Source organism: Homo sapiens, chromosome 9 (assembly GCF_000001405.40).
Source record: "Homo sapiens chromosome 9, GRCh38.p14 Primary Assembly".
In the NCBI taxonomy this organism is placed as follows: Eukaryota; Metazoa; Chordata; class Mammalia; order Primates; family Hominidae; genus Homo; species Homo sapiens.
The window spans coordinates 78,484,187-78,503,281 of record NC_000009.12 but is presented as its reverse complement, the minus strand read 5'-3'; the positions used below and the strand labels follow the sequence as shown (position 1 = coordinate 78,503,281).

At 39.8% G+C, this 19,095-nt stretch overlaps 1 annotated feature.

The window, feature by feature from the left end:
• Window positions 229-730: an enhancer, noted in NCBI's record as "NANOG hESC enhancer chr9:81117468-81117969 (GRCh37/hg19 assembly coordinates)". NCBI's record gives its function as "activates a minimal SCP1, AML or CMV promoter by ChIP-STARR-seq in naive and primed H9 embryonic stem cells {active_cell/tissue: H9 hESC(naive and primed)}" and the evidence as "EXISTENCE:reporter gene assay evidence [ECO:0000049][PMID:30033119]".

Sequence of the window (19,095 nt, the reverse complement as noted above, 5' to 3'; positions counted from 1 at the left end):
TTGATCAGTTCAGTTCTGATGTAAGTGAACATTCCCCAATCAGTTTTTTCTGCACAAACGCTAAGCTTCCATTTAAGAGATCTGACCAAGAATCTGTCTCCTACCCTGGAAAAATGCTGCTGCTAAACCCCAGCAAAACTGCACAGAAATTTATTCATCAGTGACAGACTAATAATGTGGTAGGTTCCAGGGGTAGAAGGAATCCAAATCCAATTGCCTTATGATCTAAAGCGAGACATACCTAAGCAAGGTGAACCCGGGGAAAACAGTTCCGTTTCCATGAGAGGCACTTCCTCATCTCTCCCTCCACAGCCCTTTTTTCCAGTTTGAAATAATTTCCCAGGCTGTGATTATCAGAAGCAAATGGGAGATGCACTCAGACCTAGGAGACAGCAGATACCACCGTGCCCTGGGAGCTGGTGGAGTGGTTTGAAGTGTTAATGCATTATCTACTCCTCTGGAGAAAGGTTAAAGTTTGGGCTTGAATCACAAGTGAAAATGAGGTTGGTGGCCTGGTTGTCGCCCCTCATAGACATTTATCCACAGTATCGAAGCCTGGCCCAGCTGGTGGTCTCGGCTCATCAAAGCAGCAAGGCAAGAGAAAAGGGGGGTTAGAAGCCCAGAGAGCTTTAGAAGTGGAACACTGGCTCACTTTTGCTTAAAATGACAATTAAGCTATGCATGAGTAAGAATTCCTCTCCTAGGGAGCAAGCGAACCACAAGTTTTGCCCTTTCCTTTTCCAAAATGGCCTTGCCTCTAATGTGCCTGTGCCTCTGTGCATGATGACCCTAGTGTGCAGTGCTCTCTCTTCCTTCTTCCTTGGGCTAACTTGAACTTACTAACCAAAATTCAGCTCCTCCTCATGCTTTCATTCACAAAGAGTTCTTGGGTGCCTTCTATGAGCCAAGGGATACTATGATTACACAAACATTTCTTGGACACAGCTATATAGAGGTCAGACACAGTCCCTGCTCTCAGGGAGATTATAATCTGTCAGGAAAGATAGACGCTAATAAAAGCACTGTGAAGGAGGGCAGTAGGATGCAATGAGAAGATACAAGGAAGACCTGAGCAAGTCCAAGGCTTCACAGAAGCTTGGTTAGGGAAGAAATTGTTAAGCTGATGCTCACCGTGATCCATTTCTCCAACCTGAGGCTCAGTCTACCTCAGTGTTGATCAGTATCCTGTGCAAACCTTCATTGTAACATTTACTGTTGTATCATCATATCTTCTAGTACTGAGATTGTCTATTCCCTTCTCTGCATTGCAGCTGTCTATTTATATATGTGGTCATATGATTGCCCACAAACATCCTATTTCTCCTTCCCTCTGGGCACATTTTAGGATTGGGCGCTCTGTGCTCCCTTGGATGTAGTCTTTTGACTTGCTTAAGCCAATAAAATGCAAGCAGAAATGACACGTGTCTCTTCTGGGCAGAGCTTTGAAAGTAAGTGTGCAATTGGCTGTGGTCCTTTTCCCAGGTGCAGGGGAAAGGTGGCATTACATTGTAGATGAAGCTTCCAAAAGCCTGAGTCCCCGGGTACCTAAGGGACAAAGCCCCATCACTGACTTTTCTTGGATGTAAAGTATGAACATGAAATAAATGTTGGTCATGTTAAGCCACTGAGATTTGGAAGGGTTGTCTATTTTTGTCAATAATAGTCAACCTCGTCTGGTTGACTATTACAATATGTTAGCCCCCCTCAGGATTGGGCACTCCTATAAAATAAGAGGTACTTATATATCTTTGTATCACCAGTGCCTAGCACATGGTACATACTCAGTGAATGTTTGTTGAATTAATGTCAAAGTATACTTAGACTGTTTTTAAAAATCAGCCTAATGGAAACTCAGCTCAGATGTCTTTAAAAACGGTGAAATTGGGCCGGGCACGGTGGCTCACGCCTGTAATCCCAGCACTTTGGGAAGCCGAGGCGGGAGGATCACGAGGTCAGGAGATCCAGACCATCCTGGCTAACACGGTGAAACCCCATCTCTACTAAAAGTACAAAAAAATTAGCCAGGCGTGGTGGTGGGCGTAGTCCCAGCTACTCGGGAGGCTGAGACAGGAGAATGGCGTGAACCCAGGAGGCAGAGCTTGCAGTCAGTGGAGATAGCGCCACCGCACTCCAGCCTGGGCGACAGAGCAAGACTTTGTCTCTAAAAAAGAAAAAAAAAAAAAAAAAAGATGAAATTGTCAGAAACTGGATCACTGCAGACAGCTAAGATAGGAAATGATTGTTGTGGAATCCGTGGAAGCAATGTCATTGAATGTGATCACGTAGCATATGCTATGATACACAATGTTTATGAAAGTAGTTCAGTTATTTGCTCAGAATGCTGACTTGCATTGAATACAGATAAGAGCAAAGTAAAAAAAAAAAAAAAGGTTAATGATGTCCTGGATCACATCCATTATTTTTGTAATTGCATCTCTATCCAACTGACACTAGGGAGAATTAGCTTCATATTCACAAACCAGGGAGAAGGATAAGTAATTAGGAGAAGAACCAATTCCCCAAAGGTTTTAAATTCGGAATCTACTCAATTACTTCCCCCTTGAAAACTATATCCATTATTTGAAAGCACTTTTCAAGTTTCTGAGTCATCCTATTTATAATACTTTATCTTCAATTACTTTTCTCATTGTATCTTTCATGGAATACATTTCCAATTTCCTGCTTAATTCCCTGTCTACACCCATGAGTATCCCAGGCTAGTCACTTAAGGGTTGGAACATATGTGAAGTAATAATGCAATGCAATATTCCCCCAAATATTTAAGGGACAAATATTTGTTCCTCATTATACCTTGCATTACCCATTAATTTAAAAATAGATTCTTTGCAGAGAGGATAAAAAGAGAATCTGCCATAAATTTGGAAAGAGATGTCCTTTTTCAGAATATCTCTGTAAAAAGAAATCATTAATGATGTTAGCCTTTAGAACAGTTTTAATTTACGTGTAATTGAGGAATATGAATCACTGTGAATTCTAATTAAAGGGTCATTATTCAAGTCAGTGGTGAGGTAGGCTAATTGCTATAACAAATAGACCTAAACATCTGATGCTCAAAACAATAGAAATTTATTTCTTGCTCACTTGCCCCTGGACCAGTGTTCAGACATTCTGAATGCTGTCAGCCCTCCTCCACATGGTCATTCCAAGGCTTCTTCCACCATCTCATTGGTCTTTATTCTGATCCCCATCCCATCAGTGGGGACTAAAGAACACAGACTAGCATGCATGGAGGATTTCAGTGGGATGGGCCAAGTAGTAACACTCAGCCCTTCCACTAACATTGTTGTTGGCACAGTTCAATGGGCATATCTGATGCAAGAGAGGCTAAGAAAAAGAAGCAGTGGATTTCAGGAACACCTAGCAATCTTGCTCGCAATGCAACTTTGGGTTGATGTACAAATACCAGTGAAATTTAACAAAACAGATAAAAGAGACAGATGCAAATGAATTGAGCTTGTTTGCTCATTGGATTGGTGCATCCCAGTTACATCATCAGTCCTGCATGATAAAGTGAGGTTTGACCCAGTTTGATCAATTACATTTTCTCTCCCAGTATCACCACTAGAGGTAGGTAACGCAATACAATACTTATAGACTGACTATTATACCAGGAGTACTCCAAGTGTGATCTGCAGATATCTAGAAGTCTCTGAGATGCTTTCAGGAGACTAAAGAGGTAAAGAACATTTTTGTAATAATACTAGGCTGTTATTTGCCTTGTCTACTATGTTGACATTTCCACCAATGGTGCAAGATCGATGCCTGACCTTTTAGCATAATTTAAGGTATGAACTTACGGTTAAAAGAGGGATGTGGGAATTAGAGAAGTTTTACTTAAGAATCCTTGATGATGCAGTAAAAATTATATTTTTTAAGTATGAACTCTTGAGTACACATCTTTTTAATATTCTATATGACAAAATGGGAGGTATACATAAAGCACTTTTGATGCATACCCAACTATGATGACTGTCTCAAAGAAAAGCATATGTGAAATTGTTCGAATGGAAATCTGCACTAGCCAATTTTTTCATGAAACAACACTTTTACTTGAAAGAATGGCTGACAGTCATACCATAGTTATTCAAACTTGGGTACTGGCAGACATTTTATGAAAAATGAATGAAGCAAGCTAGTCACTGCTAGTGAAACACATGACAGTATTTATTGCTGTCATTATTGTTATTTATATGATGAAATATGAGCTTTCAACTAAAAATTCAAATTTTAGAAATTTTGGATACTCCACTATGAGCTTAACAACTTCCCAACACTTAAAGACTTCTGATAAAACTGGTGATGATATTAATGAATGTGAATTTTTTTTTTTTTTTTTTTGACAGTGTCTCGCTCTGTCACCCAGGCTGGAGTGCAGCGGCTCAATCTCGGCTTGCTGCAACCTCTGCCTCCCGGGTTCAAGCAATACTCCTGCCTCAGCCTCCAGTAGCTGGGATTACAGGCACATGCCACCATGCCTGGCTAATTTTTGCATTTTTAGTAGAGACAGTATTTCAACATGTTGGCCAGGCTTAGTCTCGAACTCCTGACCTCAGGCAATCTGCCCACCTCAGCCTCCCAAAGTGCTGGAATTATAGGCATGAGCCACCCCGCCCAGCCATTTGTTTTGTTTTTTCTACAGTGAACTGTGTCAGTAATTTGGAAACTCTGCATAACTCAGGAAAACAGTATTTTCCAAATGAACAATACATAATGCTGCAAAATTACACATGGGAAAAAGATTCATCCAAAGTGAAAAAATGACAGACTAATGGATTTTATTGTCACAGAGGAAGAAAATTTTATTAGTATGATTTCAGATTCCACATATCAACTAACTTTAAAGAAACTACCATTGTTCAAGTTCTAGTATAGTATCCAAAAATAATGTCCACAAAAAATTATATGAAAATACCGCTAAAATATTTCTCCCTTTTCCAACTACATAACTGTGTGAGGCCTGATTTTCTTCATATACTTCAACAAAAATAACATAGAACAATAGATGATGGAAAGTGGAAGCAGATACGAAAATCCAGCTATCATCTGTTAAGCCAGACCTGAAAGAGATTTGCAAATATCTAAAATAATATCACTCTTCTCACTTACGTATTTTTATTTTGGAAAATATAGTTATATTTTATAAATTATGTTACATATTAACATATGGTGAATATGTTATTATTTTTTCAATAAACCAAAAATTCCTTTTAGTTTCTCAGTGTATTTTTTGTTTGTTTATTTGTTTGGTTTTTTTTGAGACGGAGTTTCACTCTTTTCACCCAGGCTGGAGTGCAATGGCACGATCTCAGCTCACTGCAACCTCTGCTTCCCAGGTTCAAGCGATTCCCCTGCCTCAGCCTCCCAAGTAGCTGGGATTACAGGTGCGTTCCACCAAACCCAGCTAATTTTTATATTTTTAGTAGAGACGGGGTTTTGCCATGTTGGCCAACCTGGTCTCAAACTTCTGACCACAGGTGATCCACCCACCTCGGCCTCCCAAAGTGCTGGGATTACAGGCGTGAGCCACCGTGGCTGGTCCTCAGTTTTAATTTCTAATATGGTTAACATAACAAAAGTTCTTTGGGATCCTAGTCTCTTTCATTTTGTTGATGAAGAAATTTTGACATAATTAGGTTTATTCATTCAGGAAATATTGTGTATCTATTACGTTTTAGAACCTGTGGGGGTACGAAAATGAATAAAACATAATTTTTGCCATTAAATAACCTAAGACCATGTGTCAATTTTTAGACAGATACACAGTAACACAGAAGTTACGTAAGCTCCTGAGACACGTAGCCTCAGAACTGAGAAGGCTATCTGGAGCTAGATAAAAAACATTTGACTTGAGTTTACAAATCTGCTTTAAAAATATGGCTTAGTAGATTATATCTCAAAGCCTTAGCGTCCCCAATCCATAAAATGGAGAGCTCGCCTACCTCACAGAGCTGATGTGAGGATAAAATGTAGTGCTTGTGGAACTCTAAAGTGAGATACAAAACAACTATGTCATTATTGTCACTCTTTTCAAGAAATTCAGCAAGTTGATATGATAAAGTGAAGGGAATACATACATCAGTGTTTTTCTGTGTTACCATTATAACATCCAAAAACACTAAGTTTTGAAACAAATCTGACTCCAAGGCTTTCATATCAGAGACTGTAGACCCCTTACCTTAGCTCAAATCAAGACAGGACAAAGAGAAGATCAGAACACTTTTCCCAAAATTGGTATTAAACCATATTGTCTGCATGGATATCGTGAGTGACTGCTAAAACCCAAGTATGCTATGTCCACAACATTCCTATGATCTGGAAGCTTCCTTTTGTCTATTAAAAGAAGTATTCTGGCCAGGCATGGTGGCTCACACCTGTAATCCCAGCACTTTGGGAGGCTGAGGCAGGCAGATCATGAGGAAAGGAGTTTGAGACCAGCCTGGCCAACATAGTGAAACCCCATCTCCACTAAAAATAAAAAAAATTAGCCAGGCACGACGGCGCGTGCCTGTGGTCCCAGCTACTCAGGAGGCTGAGGCAGGAGAATCACTTGAGCCCGGGTGGCAGAGGTTGTGGTGAGCCTAGATTGTGCCACTGCACTCCAGCCTGGGCAACAGAGCAAGACTCTGTCTCAAAACTCTTGGCCGGGCACCGTGGCTCATGCCTGTAATCCTAACACTTTGGGAGACCAAGGCGGGTGGATCACTTGAGGCCAGGAGTTCGAGACCAGCCTGGCCAACATATCAAAACTCCGTCTCTACTTAAAAAAAAAAAAAATACAAAAAATTAGCTGGGTGTGGTGGTGCACACCTGTAATCCCAGCTACTTGGGAAGCTGAGGCATGAGAATCACTTGAACCTGGAAGGCAGAGGTTGCAGTGAGCCACCGCACTCCAGCGACTGAGCGAGACTCTGTCTCCAAAAAAAAAAGTATTCTTCAATTAGCTTGAAGTGACCAGTTCTCCAGGACCCCAAACTAGCCCACAGTAATAATCAGTTTCTCATATAAATAATCATAAATTATGTTTAAAATCTGTTTTATAATTTGAGAAATATCTCCATAAAACTCATTCACCCATGCTTTTTTACTCTAATTTGAAAAATCAGCAGTATTTAACGTATTCAGTTAATAAATACGTATTAAGCACCCACTTTGCATATGGCACTTTGCTAGGCAATGGGGGTGTTAGATAAATGTGATTCTTACTCTCTCAGATCTGAGAGTCTGGCAGAAAAAATAGGCAATGAGCAAAGAAATAGCATAAAATATAATGATTTGTGCTAATATGGGCAAGTTCAATGTTTTGGAAGCACATTTTAAAAGCACCCAACCAGTCTTGTAGAAAGATAAAGTGGAAAGAGTCATCATGGGAGGCTTCCTGGAATAAGAGGTGTTTCAGTCAAGATCTGAAGGGTGAGGGGATATTCAGTCAGGTAAGGAGAAAGGGGAACAGTATTTTAGTCAGAGAGCACAGCTGTTCACACCTTCTTTCCCTCCAGTTGTGACCTAAAGCTCTCCTCCTGTTCAGAGCAATGACCTTCTGGCCACCAAATCTGAGAGATACTTTCTAGCGGTGTCATGTTCATTGACCTCTCACATCTGTCTGGCATGAATTCTTTCTTGAAACCCTCATTTCTCTTAGCTTCTGTGACATCACAGTATACTACTTGTCCTCTCGGTACTTTAACTTTCTGTGCTTTTTATAATTCCATCCTCTACTCCCCCATTCAATGTTAACTTTCCTAAAGGCTTGAGCCTATGCTCTCTCTTCTTTATACTTATGTTCTTTCAAAGTCCATAGCTTCAATTATAACTTATACAAGATTTCTTACAGGTTTTTATGTCTCCAGCATGGACGTTCTCCGCTGAGCTCCAGAACGGTGGTTCTTACTGACTGTTTGACCTCTCCTCTTGTACAGATCAAAAGCTCCTCAGATTATCTGTGCAACATCAAACTCATCAACAAATCTGGTCTTCTTTCACAGTTTCCTCTTCATTGACTGTCCCCACCAGCCATCCAGTTATCCAGCCAGACTCCTGGGAGTTTTCTTTCGCATGCCCTTTTCTTCTCATGTCTCCTATCTTAATCCACCACCAAGTCCTACCAACTTTATCTCCCAAATATCTCTCAAATCAACCTACAACTCTCTACATCCTCCACAGCCACCCTAATCCAAACCAGACCATCCATTGCCTGGATTACTACAACAGCCCTGCCAAATGCTTTACCCAAATACTTTCAGCCTCCCTCTGCCAATTCCCACTGCAAACAGAATGATCTTGAAATATTCTATTCTACTAACTCTGCCTAAAATGTGTCTGTGACTCTGAACTTCCTTTAATACAGAGATACACAGTCCTTACCATAGCCCACAAAGCCTTGCATGATCTGACTTGCCTCCTATTCATTCCAGCCACACTGATTTTCTTCCAGTTCTTCATTATTATAAGGTTACCTTGCTGAATAGGACTTTGTAAATCTTGGGGGTTTTTTGGTTAGGAATAACCTTCTTCCTCCTTCTTCTAGCTAATGCTGATCATCCCCATCACTTTACCAGAGACTTTTTTTAACCTAGTTGACAAGGTCATTAAGCTCTCGTAGCATTATATTTCTCCCTATTCTTGTTCTAATATCATTGATTTGATCATTTAATGATCATTTAATAATCATCTTCCCATAAGGACTGAGATTCCTTCTGGGCTTATCCTTTGTATCCCCCAAAGTTTAATATAGGGCCAGGCTGAGTGAATAGATTTTTTTTAATTAATTAATATATGTGAAAAGGCTCAACAGAAGAGCAGGAAAAATGCATGCATGAAAGGCTGGGCAGAGTTCAGTAAAGATGAAGCCTCTAGGAAAGAAAGAGGAAGGTGGAAGGAAAAGAGTGAGTAAGGGTTAAGGCTGGAGAGGCTCACGTGAGTCCAGGCAAATAGCCACAGTAAAGAGTGAAATGAAAAATCCCTGCATTGGTTTGGACAAGGGAGTAAGATGATCAAATTTGCATCACTTTGGCTTCCGTGTGAATACATAGGAAAATTCAACTCTAGAGACAGAGAGAAGACTTCAGCTATTCAGAAATCTGGGAAATGAATGATTCATTGGGACATACAGACTAACAGTGGTGGCAGTAGGAATAGAGAAAATTGGATTGGTTTGGAAAACAGAACATGAGGAAGACTCAGCAAGCCTGTGACCTCTCTTTTCCAAATGCTTCTATAATCACCTACTAATTTCAAAACCCTAGACTGTGTCTCTTCTGGCAGAGACTTGAATTTCCTGCAAGCAGCCCAGGTCTCTCCTATAATCTTATATTTCCTCTTAAGTATGTCTTTGTAGATCACACTCCCTGGTAGAAAACACGGAAGCAAGGTTCTAATAGTTCTTCTAGCTCCTTGCCTTGTGCTAACGTTATGCCATCTGTCCCAATCATTGGGTTAATAATAGCTTTTTAAAGTGCTTTTAATTTTTTAATTATCTATACATTCTTCAAATATCTGAACTCAATGTTAATAGTATTCTTAAGAGTTCATTCCATTACATTTAAACATTTTATTGCAAGTATCAACCCTTTTAAATTTACCTGATTAAATTTGACCTTTCATCTGTTCACATTTTTTTCTCACTCCAGAGTTCATCAAAGAGTACCCTTCATTCAACCTTCCACCATCAATTTAGCATCTATTTTGTGCTAGACATTTTCTGGGCACTGCAGATAAAATGACGAATAATACATGGCTCTTAACTTCAATGAGTCATAGTCTAGTGGAAAAGATAGGAATATAAAGAAGCATTTAATCTATTTAATATATTTAAATTTTGCCCTATAAATGTACTAAAGACATATAAACACATGTTTTCAAAGCCCCAAGACCTCTCCTGGAGAATGCTTCATATAAGAGAGGTCTTTTGTTCTGAATCTTAAAGGATGCATAGAGTGTGACATGCAAAGAATATACGTGAAAGGCATGGAAGAGAGAACAGGACATTAAAGTCATGACACATACAATAATGTGATCTGATCAGATTTGTTTTTAGGAAATAATTCCATCAGTCACCATTGGTTCATCAGCTGCCTCATGGTTTTCTTCCTCAATGGTATTATTTAGGATTATACTATGAATTTCTTTTAGAGCATCTCTCTTTAGTATTTTCTTTTTTTTTTTTTTTGAGATGGAGTCTTGCTCTAGTCACCCAGGATGGAGTGCGGTGGCGCGATCTTGGCTCACTACAAGCTCCGCCTCCCGGGTTCATGCCATTCTCCTGCCTCAGCCTCCCGAGTAGCTGGGATTATAGGCGCCCACCACCAAGCCCGGCTAATTTTTTGTATTTTCAGTAGAGACGGGGTTTCACCGTGTTAGCCAGGATGGTCTCGATCTCCTGACCTTGTGATCCGCCTGCCTCAGCCTCCCAAAGTGCTGGGATTACAGGCATGAGCCACCGCGCCTGGCCTAGTATCTTCTCTTTCAGAAAAAAAAAAAAAAAAAAAAAAAACTAGTAAGAACAGCAGGATATACTGTTTCCTACACTTGTTTCACTAGACCAACCAGAATGACTTCTGTAGAATTTTGCTGATATGTCCTGAGTTGCTTTACATCAGCACTGGGTTGAGTCACTAAATCTGGCAGTGGGTCTTCAACAAGACAATACTTCATTTCTGAATAAAACTGTGCTTAGCTCACCAATTCCTAAAATCAGTTCAGGAGACAATTACATTGCAGCAACTCAAAAGAAAAAGAAAAAATATACTAACATGAATCACACATGCCCCAAGTGCCACATATACCATTCGAAGAAAAAAAAAAACAATTGTTTTTTTTTTTTTTAACCACTTCACTATTTAATTACAAGCAAAGTCCTCTGTGGTTCTCCTTGGTCTCCTCTCTCTAAAAAAAAAAAAAAAAAAAAAAAAAAAAAAAAAAAGAAGAAGAAGAAAAGAGAAAGGAAAATCACTTCCACCATTAACTCCTAATCTAAAAAGTAAATTCTGCCTTAAATAAAAATCTGGGTCTTTCTACTAAGCTAATTTAGTGTTCGCATCTTGTTACTGAATGATCTTAAACTTCTAGGGTCCCCACTCTATGTATCTGACAGCATCTCTCCTTCATATCCCAAAAGCCCACACACAGAAACACTTGCTCTCTCTTCATCCACTGGATGAACTCTTAATTCTCCTACCTCCATGAACCCTATGGCTGTCCCCCAACATAGGAGAAACCAAGGAATTCTTAAAGAACATGAAGAGAAAATGCCCCTTAATGAGACCAACAGCTCATCAGCCACTGTCTCCAGGGAAACCCACAAATGTGCCCCAGCTCAATCAGCATTCTCATTAGCTGCAATGGGAAGAAAAAGAACCAAGAGAGAAGGGTCAAGAGCAATTGTCTGCCACTGCCATGAAAAGACAGGTTTTTTAAGGCTTCGATTGGTCCCTATTGAAACTGTCACTCTCAGATTACAGCCAGCAGTACCAGGAGCATCCAGAAACCCAGAGAAAATCACCAAGCTGGTTTCTGTCTGGTTTCTGGGAATGACATGCAACCTGTCAGCAGGCATCTTAGCCCACCGAGCCCAGCAGCTGGGGTGGTGGTGGCAGCTACCCTGCTTGACAGCACCTTCTCCAGAGGCCCTGTATCATTACAGTCTGCCCTTCTGCTGGGGTAGAATTAACTTGTTGTGACTGTGTGACAGTTCTGACGACTACATAGTTTGAGGCAAGGAGCTGGGTCACACGCTGCTACATGCATGGGCTGTCACTAACTGCTCCACTAAAACCAGACAAAACCTTGTCAGGAGAGATCAACTCCTCTGGAGACAGAGGTAAGAGACTCAACTCATGGCCTGCTCATGAGGGTTTTGTTCAGTTCAAGGACAGCATCAACTGACAAGAGGACTTACTCAATGTTACAGGGAGACACAATCAATGCCAGCAAGAGGAAGGAGGCAGAGAGGCAGAAAGGGGAAAACACACCCGGACAAATTTGAGAGTGCTGAAGGAGACAGGCTGTTAAGAGGTGGCAAAAGAAGACAGTGTCCTCACTTTGGAAAATCGATGACATAAACTCCCAAATCACACCTATTTCACAGTCATAAAAGCTCCACCAAGAAACTAAAGCAATCAACCTTAGTGTTACTTAATACAGTATCTTCTCTATGCTTAACACTGTGCTAAGTATTATAAAAGCTACAAAAACACAACACATGACCCCTAACTTTAGCAACCTTACAATTTCGCTGTTGAGATAAGACATGCTCTCATAAAAATACACAATGTGGTCAACATACCCCTCTTTCCTCAGGCCTATACTCCCAGTGGGAACCTGAAGACCTAGTTCAACCTGCAGAAAGAGGAGAGGGCTCAAAGGACAGAGAGAGGCACAGTGTGAAGAAATCACAGGGAAGTTACCCCATAGCTCCTTTAAGAAATAACTTTGCCCATCCTTGGGCTACTACAGGAGGTCAAGATTCTTGCTGTCCTTTACTCTCTTTTGGCTACAGGAGGTCAAGATTCTTGCTGTCCTTTCCTCCCTTTTTGGCTGTACCTGAGGAAAGTCCCTCCAGGTCCCCAGACTTGGGTGTTAATTGACTCACAGTTCCACATGGCTAGGGAGGCCTCAGGAAACTTACAACTATGGCGGAGGGGAAGCATGCATGCCTTACATGGTGGCAGGCAAGAGGGAGCACGTGAAGGAGGAACTGTCAAACACTTATAAAACTGTCAGATATCCTGAGAACTACTATCACAAGAACAGCATAGGGGAAACCACACCCCCATGATTCAATCACCTTCCACCAGGTCCCTCCCTCGACACATAGGGATTATGGGGATTACAAATCAGGATGAGATTTGGGTAGGGATTCAGAGCCAAACCATATCAGTGAGCTTGCATACTTTTCATGCTATTACGGTGATGTGCTATTTAACTTACTCTTCCTTCTGCAAGTTGTCAGACTCAGGGATCCTGACAACTTTGTTAAACCCCAGGTTTCTTCCTCTTCTGTTCTCTCCATCCCCTATCCAACCTAAGCATATGCAAGAAAGTGATAGGAACAACCTGAGTTTGTCCAAATTAAAGAGATGGGCTTTGAGTTGTAAATATTGACCCTGAAACCCAACTGTGGATTTATTAGCTATGTAAATTTGGTCAACTTATTTAGTCTGAGTTTCTATTTTCTTAACTGCAAGATTAATGTAAAAAATAAACATATGAAAATACCTAGCATGGTATCTGGTACTTGGTAGGTAATTAATAAATGTTGGCCAGGCACAGTGGCTCATGCATGTAATTGCAGCACTTTGGGAGGCCAAGGCAGGAGGATGACTTGAGCCCAAGTTCAAAACCGGCCTAAAACATAGTGAGACCCCCATGTCTACAAAAAATTTTAAAAGTTAGCCAGACGTGGTGGTGTGTGGGAGGCTGAGGCTGGAGGATCACTTGAGCCCAGGAGGCTGAGGCTGCAGTGAGTTGTGATTGTGCCACTGCACTCCAGCCTCAGTAATAGAGTGAGAACCTCCCTCAAAAAACAACAACAACAAAATGTTGGTTTCTTTTTGTCTGTTTTAATCCTCTACTAGTGACACTGAATGCCCAATTAAGTGTAAATTTGTATGTACAGTCTTTATTCTTAATTAGTACACTTGATCCCCATTATTCACAGAGTCCATATTTGGGAGTTGACCTACTCACTATAATTTATTTGTAACCCCAAAATCAATACTTGCAGCACTACTAAAACCCTATGACTTTATTACTTGATTTGGGGCTATACCCACAGATATGCACAGAGTGACAAAAAATTTAAGTCACCCAATGAGCACATTCTTCACTGAGGCTGAATAAAGTGACACCCTGCCTTCTTGTTTCACCTCTTGTGCAGTAAATGAGTATTTTTCACAGTCTGTTTTAGGGATACGTTTTTTGTATTTTCATGCTTTTTGTTGGTGATTTTGCTGCTTAAAATGGCCCCTAGGTGTGCCTGTAATCCCAGCTACTTTGGAGGCTGACACAGGAGAATCACTTGAATCTGGGGGACAGAGATTGCAGTGAGCCGAGTTCGCACCACTGCACTCCAGCCTGGGCAACAGAACGAGACTCTGTCTCAAAAAAAAAAAAAAAAAAAATGACCCCTAAGCATAGTGCTGAAGTGCTGTCTAATGTTCCTAAGCATAAGGAGGCTGTGATGTGCCTTATGGAGAAAATGCATATGTTAGATAAGCTTCTTTCAGGCATGAGTTACAGCACTCAGTTACAGCACTGCTAGCTGTGAGTTTAACATTAATGAATTGACACCACATATTAAATAAGGTGTTTTTAAACAAACCCACATAAAACAAGGTTATGAATTGATTGGTTGTCAAAAGTGTTGTAACCAGAGGCCCACAGGAACCTAACTCTGCATTTCCTCTAGGAGCAGTGGGTTCAGTACTTGCTAATTCAGTGTTTGTAGTAATATCAGAGAACATAACCGCCAAGAATGATGAGAACTGATGTATGTCTTTTTCTCATTTAATTTCCACACTGATTCTCTGAGGCAAGAAGCTAATTAGCAGAGTCCATAATTGCATTATGAAAAAGAAAAAAACATTCACTTGATTTGGGTCTTGAAGGGTCTTAAGTACAAAAGAGCTCGGGAGAGAGGAGAGGTGCGTGGCAAAGTGAATCGGCAGGATCTGTTCATCGGAAAGTAAAGGGCTTCACTTACCAGATCATGAGGTGAATGTTGGGACTTTGTGGGACATTTTTACTTCTGGTACCTTCCTCAGTATTATTTATAAATCATTTTGGATGACTAGATGGATTATATTCATTTTTCTTTCCCTCAAATCTCCTCTAATGAGCTTAAGCATTGGTACTGCCTTGATCTATAATTAGTAAGATAGCAGGTGATACACTAATCTGGGATGAATTTCCCAAACCAGAGTCCGATGAGATAGCAAAGGCATCAGAGTTCTTTTTATCTAGTCAACCTCTCAGCTAACTCAGGCAAGAAGCATAAAAAGATTCAGTTTGTCTCTATCTGGTCATTATCTTTTCTTTAATGTATTTTCCTACCCTGAACACACACCTTCTCTCGGACAGTGTTAGGAATATAGACAACTCTAAATAAAATTCCATTCTTTCAGGAAAGTTTAGAGTCATTTTCTTAGGGACAAGAGGGGAACTTGATAGGCATGTTTCAATTCCCTCTATTTCAAATGAGAACTGTAAAGCTCTGGGAGTTCATGAGACAGACCGGGGACTACAGCCTGTTTCTTCCACCAGTTGAATGGACTTTCCATGCCTATAGCAATTATGTGTGTGGATTTTCCAGAAAAACCCTAATTTTTAAAATGTTTGGTTCCATCTTTGCTCTAAGAGTACTGATGCCTGTTAGTCTCTGGGCTCTGAATTTTGGGTCTGATGATAAGGTCACCACAATTATTATATCATGTTTTCTCTAAGTGATAGGAAGACTTTTCTTAGTTCTCATCCTCTTGCGGCAATTCATCCAGGCCTGTGGCATCCATTGTCACATCTGTGGGTATGATCCCCAAATCAAGTAATAAAGTCATAGGATTTTAGTAGCCAGATGAGTCATTTTACTGATAATGATGAAATTGAGTCCCCAAGAGGCCAAATCATAACTGAAATGACACAGCTAGCAAGAGATAGTGTCAGAATGTAACATAGGCATCTAAAAATATTATGAATATATAAAGAACTTGGTTGATATTAACTTGCTAGTTTAATATCACAATTGGTCTAAAGATTGCAAGAACCTTAAAAGCAGCATTAGTCATATATTCATACAAAACAAACATAATGGTTAAGACCTTTATTTGTCTCCAAATTGCGAGGCAATAGGCTCTGATTTTCTCATTAGAGTAATATTTATTGACCTATATCACCACGGAAAATGATTACCCTGAACACCTGCCTGCAAAAACAACCATGAAAACATTTATCAGGATTTGTATAACAAAAGGAACACTTTGAATGAAACACAAATACTTGGTCTACATTTTATTAGCACTTAAAACTCAATTATCATTTCACACCAGAAGTGAAGGCAGTGACATTGACAGGCTTTTAGCAATAAACCTACATACACAATTCTAGCTCTTAGGTCACTTGAAGAGCCTTCTCAAGCTGCTAGAGGCCAGCAGATCACACTGTAGGAAGAATTGTTCTAAATGATTAAGGAATCTGTACCATTAAAGAAAAGCATTGTTTAAAAGGCAAACTGTTTTCCAAATTAGGGGGTGCCACACAATGGAAGAGTATAAGAATTATCATCCTATTGCTCTCCCCCAACAAAGGATGCTCTGATAACTGGACTTTTTAGCTGCTTGCACAAAATAACTGAATTGCGGCAACAACCTCCCTGACTCATAATTCTTATCCTTCTAATCCATCCTACATTCTTCTGCCAGACATCTCGGCCTGAAATATCATGTTAATCATGCCAGCTCCTGCTCAAAATCCTCAGTGATCCAAAGGCCCAGAAAGTCACAGCTATTAGAAAGTATCATCTGGGACAAAACACTATTCCTGCATTCATGGCCTTCTGGGGACCTGTGGTCACAGGAAGATAAAGACCAACTTGGAAGTTTTTATCATCCTACTGCAGTCAAAAACTCAAATGGTTTACAGAGAGGTTGATCTTGTGCTTCCGTTTACCTGGGATTTCTCAGTTTGTGTCTGTTATCACAGCTAATAGCACTTCTGCTTGGTTTTCAAAAGTGTCCTGGTTTGGACAAAAAATTTTATAACATTAGTTATAGGCATTATGATACCACATGCCTGCGACCATTATAAACATTTTTTTACCAAAAGTTATAGACACTACAAGGACCTAATAACAGCTCATCACCCTCTTCTCATCTCATCCTCCACCCAGCACTGCATCGTAAGCATGAGTGAGGAGGATCATCATCAGGGCCAGCAGAGTAAAACACCTAGCTGATGCAAACTTTACTCCCACCCCATCCTGAGGTTGCTTCCCATCTTTTCCTGGTATGCTCTTAACATCTTGTGATTCTCCATCCAAAAACACAGAAGGATTCAGACCTGACAACACATCTTGATGCTCGACTGCCTCCGGAATGTCCGGTTTCACTAGGTCAGCAACTAAGCACCCAGAATCACACCAGCCCCATGTATTAGACAGGGAAGAGGCACATGCTTTCCACTACCTAGGAGAAAGAGCTTGTCACCAAGAGACCCTGGCTAATAGATTTAAAAAGAGAAAAATATAGGCCAGAAAGTATAATCTTCTTAATCCTGGAACATTTACAACTCCATATACTTGATGTTTCTATGGAAAACCTAGAATATTGCCCCTATCTATTCCTACTGAAGTCGCTCTAACAAAAAAGAATTCTAAAATAGAATTGAGTTCCCTCAAATATTATGAAAATAAGCTTTCATGGTCCTATTGTCCTATTTTATGTATTTCTTCCCAATCTCTGTCTTGCCTAAAAAGTTTTCACAGTCTGCATATAGTATATTTAAAATTTTATATCAAGCTTTAATCAAAACTTCTTTATATAGTTGCCAATTATAATTATAAAAGCATCTCAATGTTTTTTAGTTGATACATTACAATTTAATAATTTACCTGGTTTTATATTTAATTTCCTTCCATGTTTCTACAATTGCAAGGCATTTGGCTAAGCACTGGGAATAGTGAACTTTAAAAAAATAAAAATAAATGTTTTTACTAAAGTACAGAATATTGGACTCTTTTGGAAGACTAAATTTGAATTCTTGAGATATATTTTAATAGCTCTGGTACCATCATCACATATTAATCACAAACTTTAAGAAAATCAAAAAGAGAATAAGAAAATGAGGAAGAGAAGAGAAGGAAGAAGAGGACAGAGGGAAAGGGAGTGGGTAATGACAGAGCAGGGAGAAAACAGGAGGGAAGGACTTATAATTACAAGGATAAATTGAGGGTCTTACTTCTGTTCTGACATTTGCTTCATGTAAATGATGGAAATACCATACCAATTCATTTGAATACATGTCAAGTCCTTCCATGAATTATAATAAATGTCAGCATCATTCTAATATTTAAAAACAAAAGCTATCTATAATTCAGCCATGACTCTTTCCCTGTTGTCTACTCCATCATGTAAAATAGCCATTGCCTGGCCTTTAAGGTCTTATACACTCAGCCCAACAACCAAACTAATTTTTCTCCTTTTGTCTGCATAAAACCTCATCTCCAATCAGAGATACTTATTGGGAAACAAATATGGAGAGTTTGCATTTTCAGTAATGCAGGAATAGCTTTTATTAAAATAAACTTCTCACAGCTAAGAATTATAATCTCAGGATTAATTTTTTTAAAGAAAAGAACTATTTAAAGGCACAAGAGAATAAAAAAAAAATGCATAAATTGAAAGGTAGTAGACCTTGGAAAAAAGGGAACTGAACTGGGTGTGAACATCACTTTGATAGCTTTTCTTTTAAGAGAACTTCCCAGTCCAAGGGATGTTAGACAAATAGAATTCAAGCAGAATTATAGCCTTAACAGCTTGAAGTATCTGAGGACAGAGTTCACAGCCACCAGAGTGGCTGGCGATAAAGAAAGGAAATTCAAGTAAAGGAAGGATCCCCAAAATTTGCATGTAAACTCCCCTCAAATCTTTGTCTGATTTTTACATGACTTTTGCACACACACACACACACACAAAGACACAAGAAACCCAGCAGAGAGCAACAGCTAAAACGCTAAAAGAGTAGAGCAGAAATACCTGGTGCTGCCCACTGCACAGTAGGAAGAATCTGAAGTTTAGGTGTTTCCAAAGTAAGAGGGTTTGGGTAAACATCTTTGGTTTTCCACTAAAACCCCAGAAGGGCATATTTTAGGATGAAAATGTTTGTCTCTGAATTAAGGAATTTACCCTAGTAATACTAAGGGCAAAATCAACAGACCCACCTTAATAACACCAAGCTTCCAAGGAGATCAGCCAGTCATTTAATCACCTAGGTAAACAAAAACCAATACTCTTCACTGGAAGATAAAAACATCCAGAGATTTTACAATACATCATCCATAATGTCCAGTATATAGTAAAGAAACAGTAG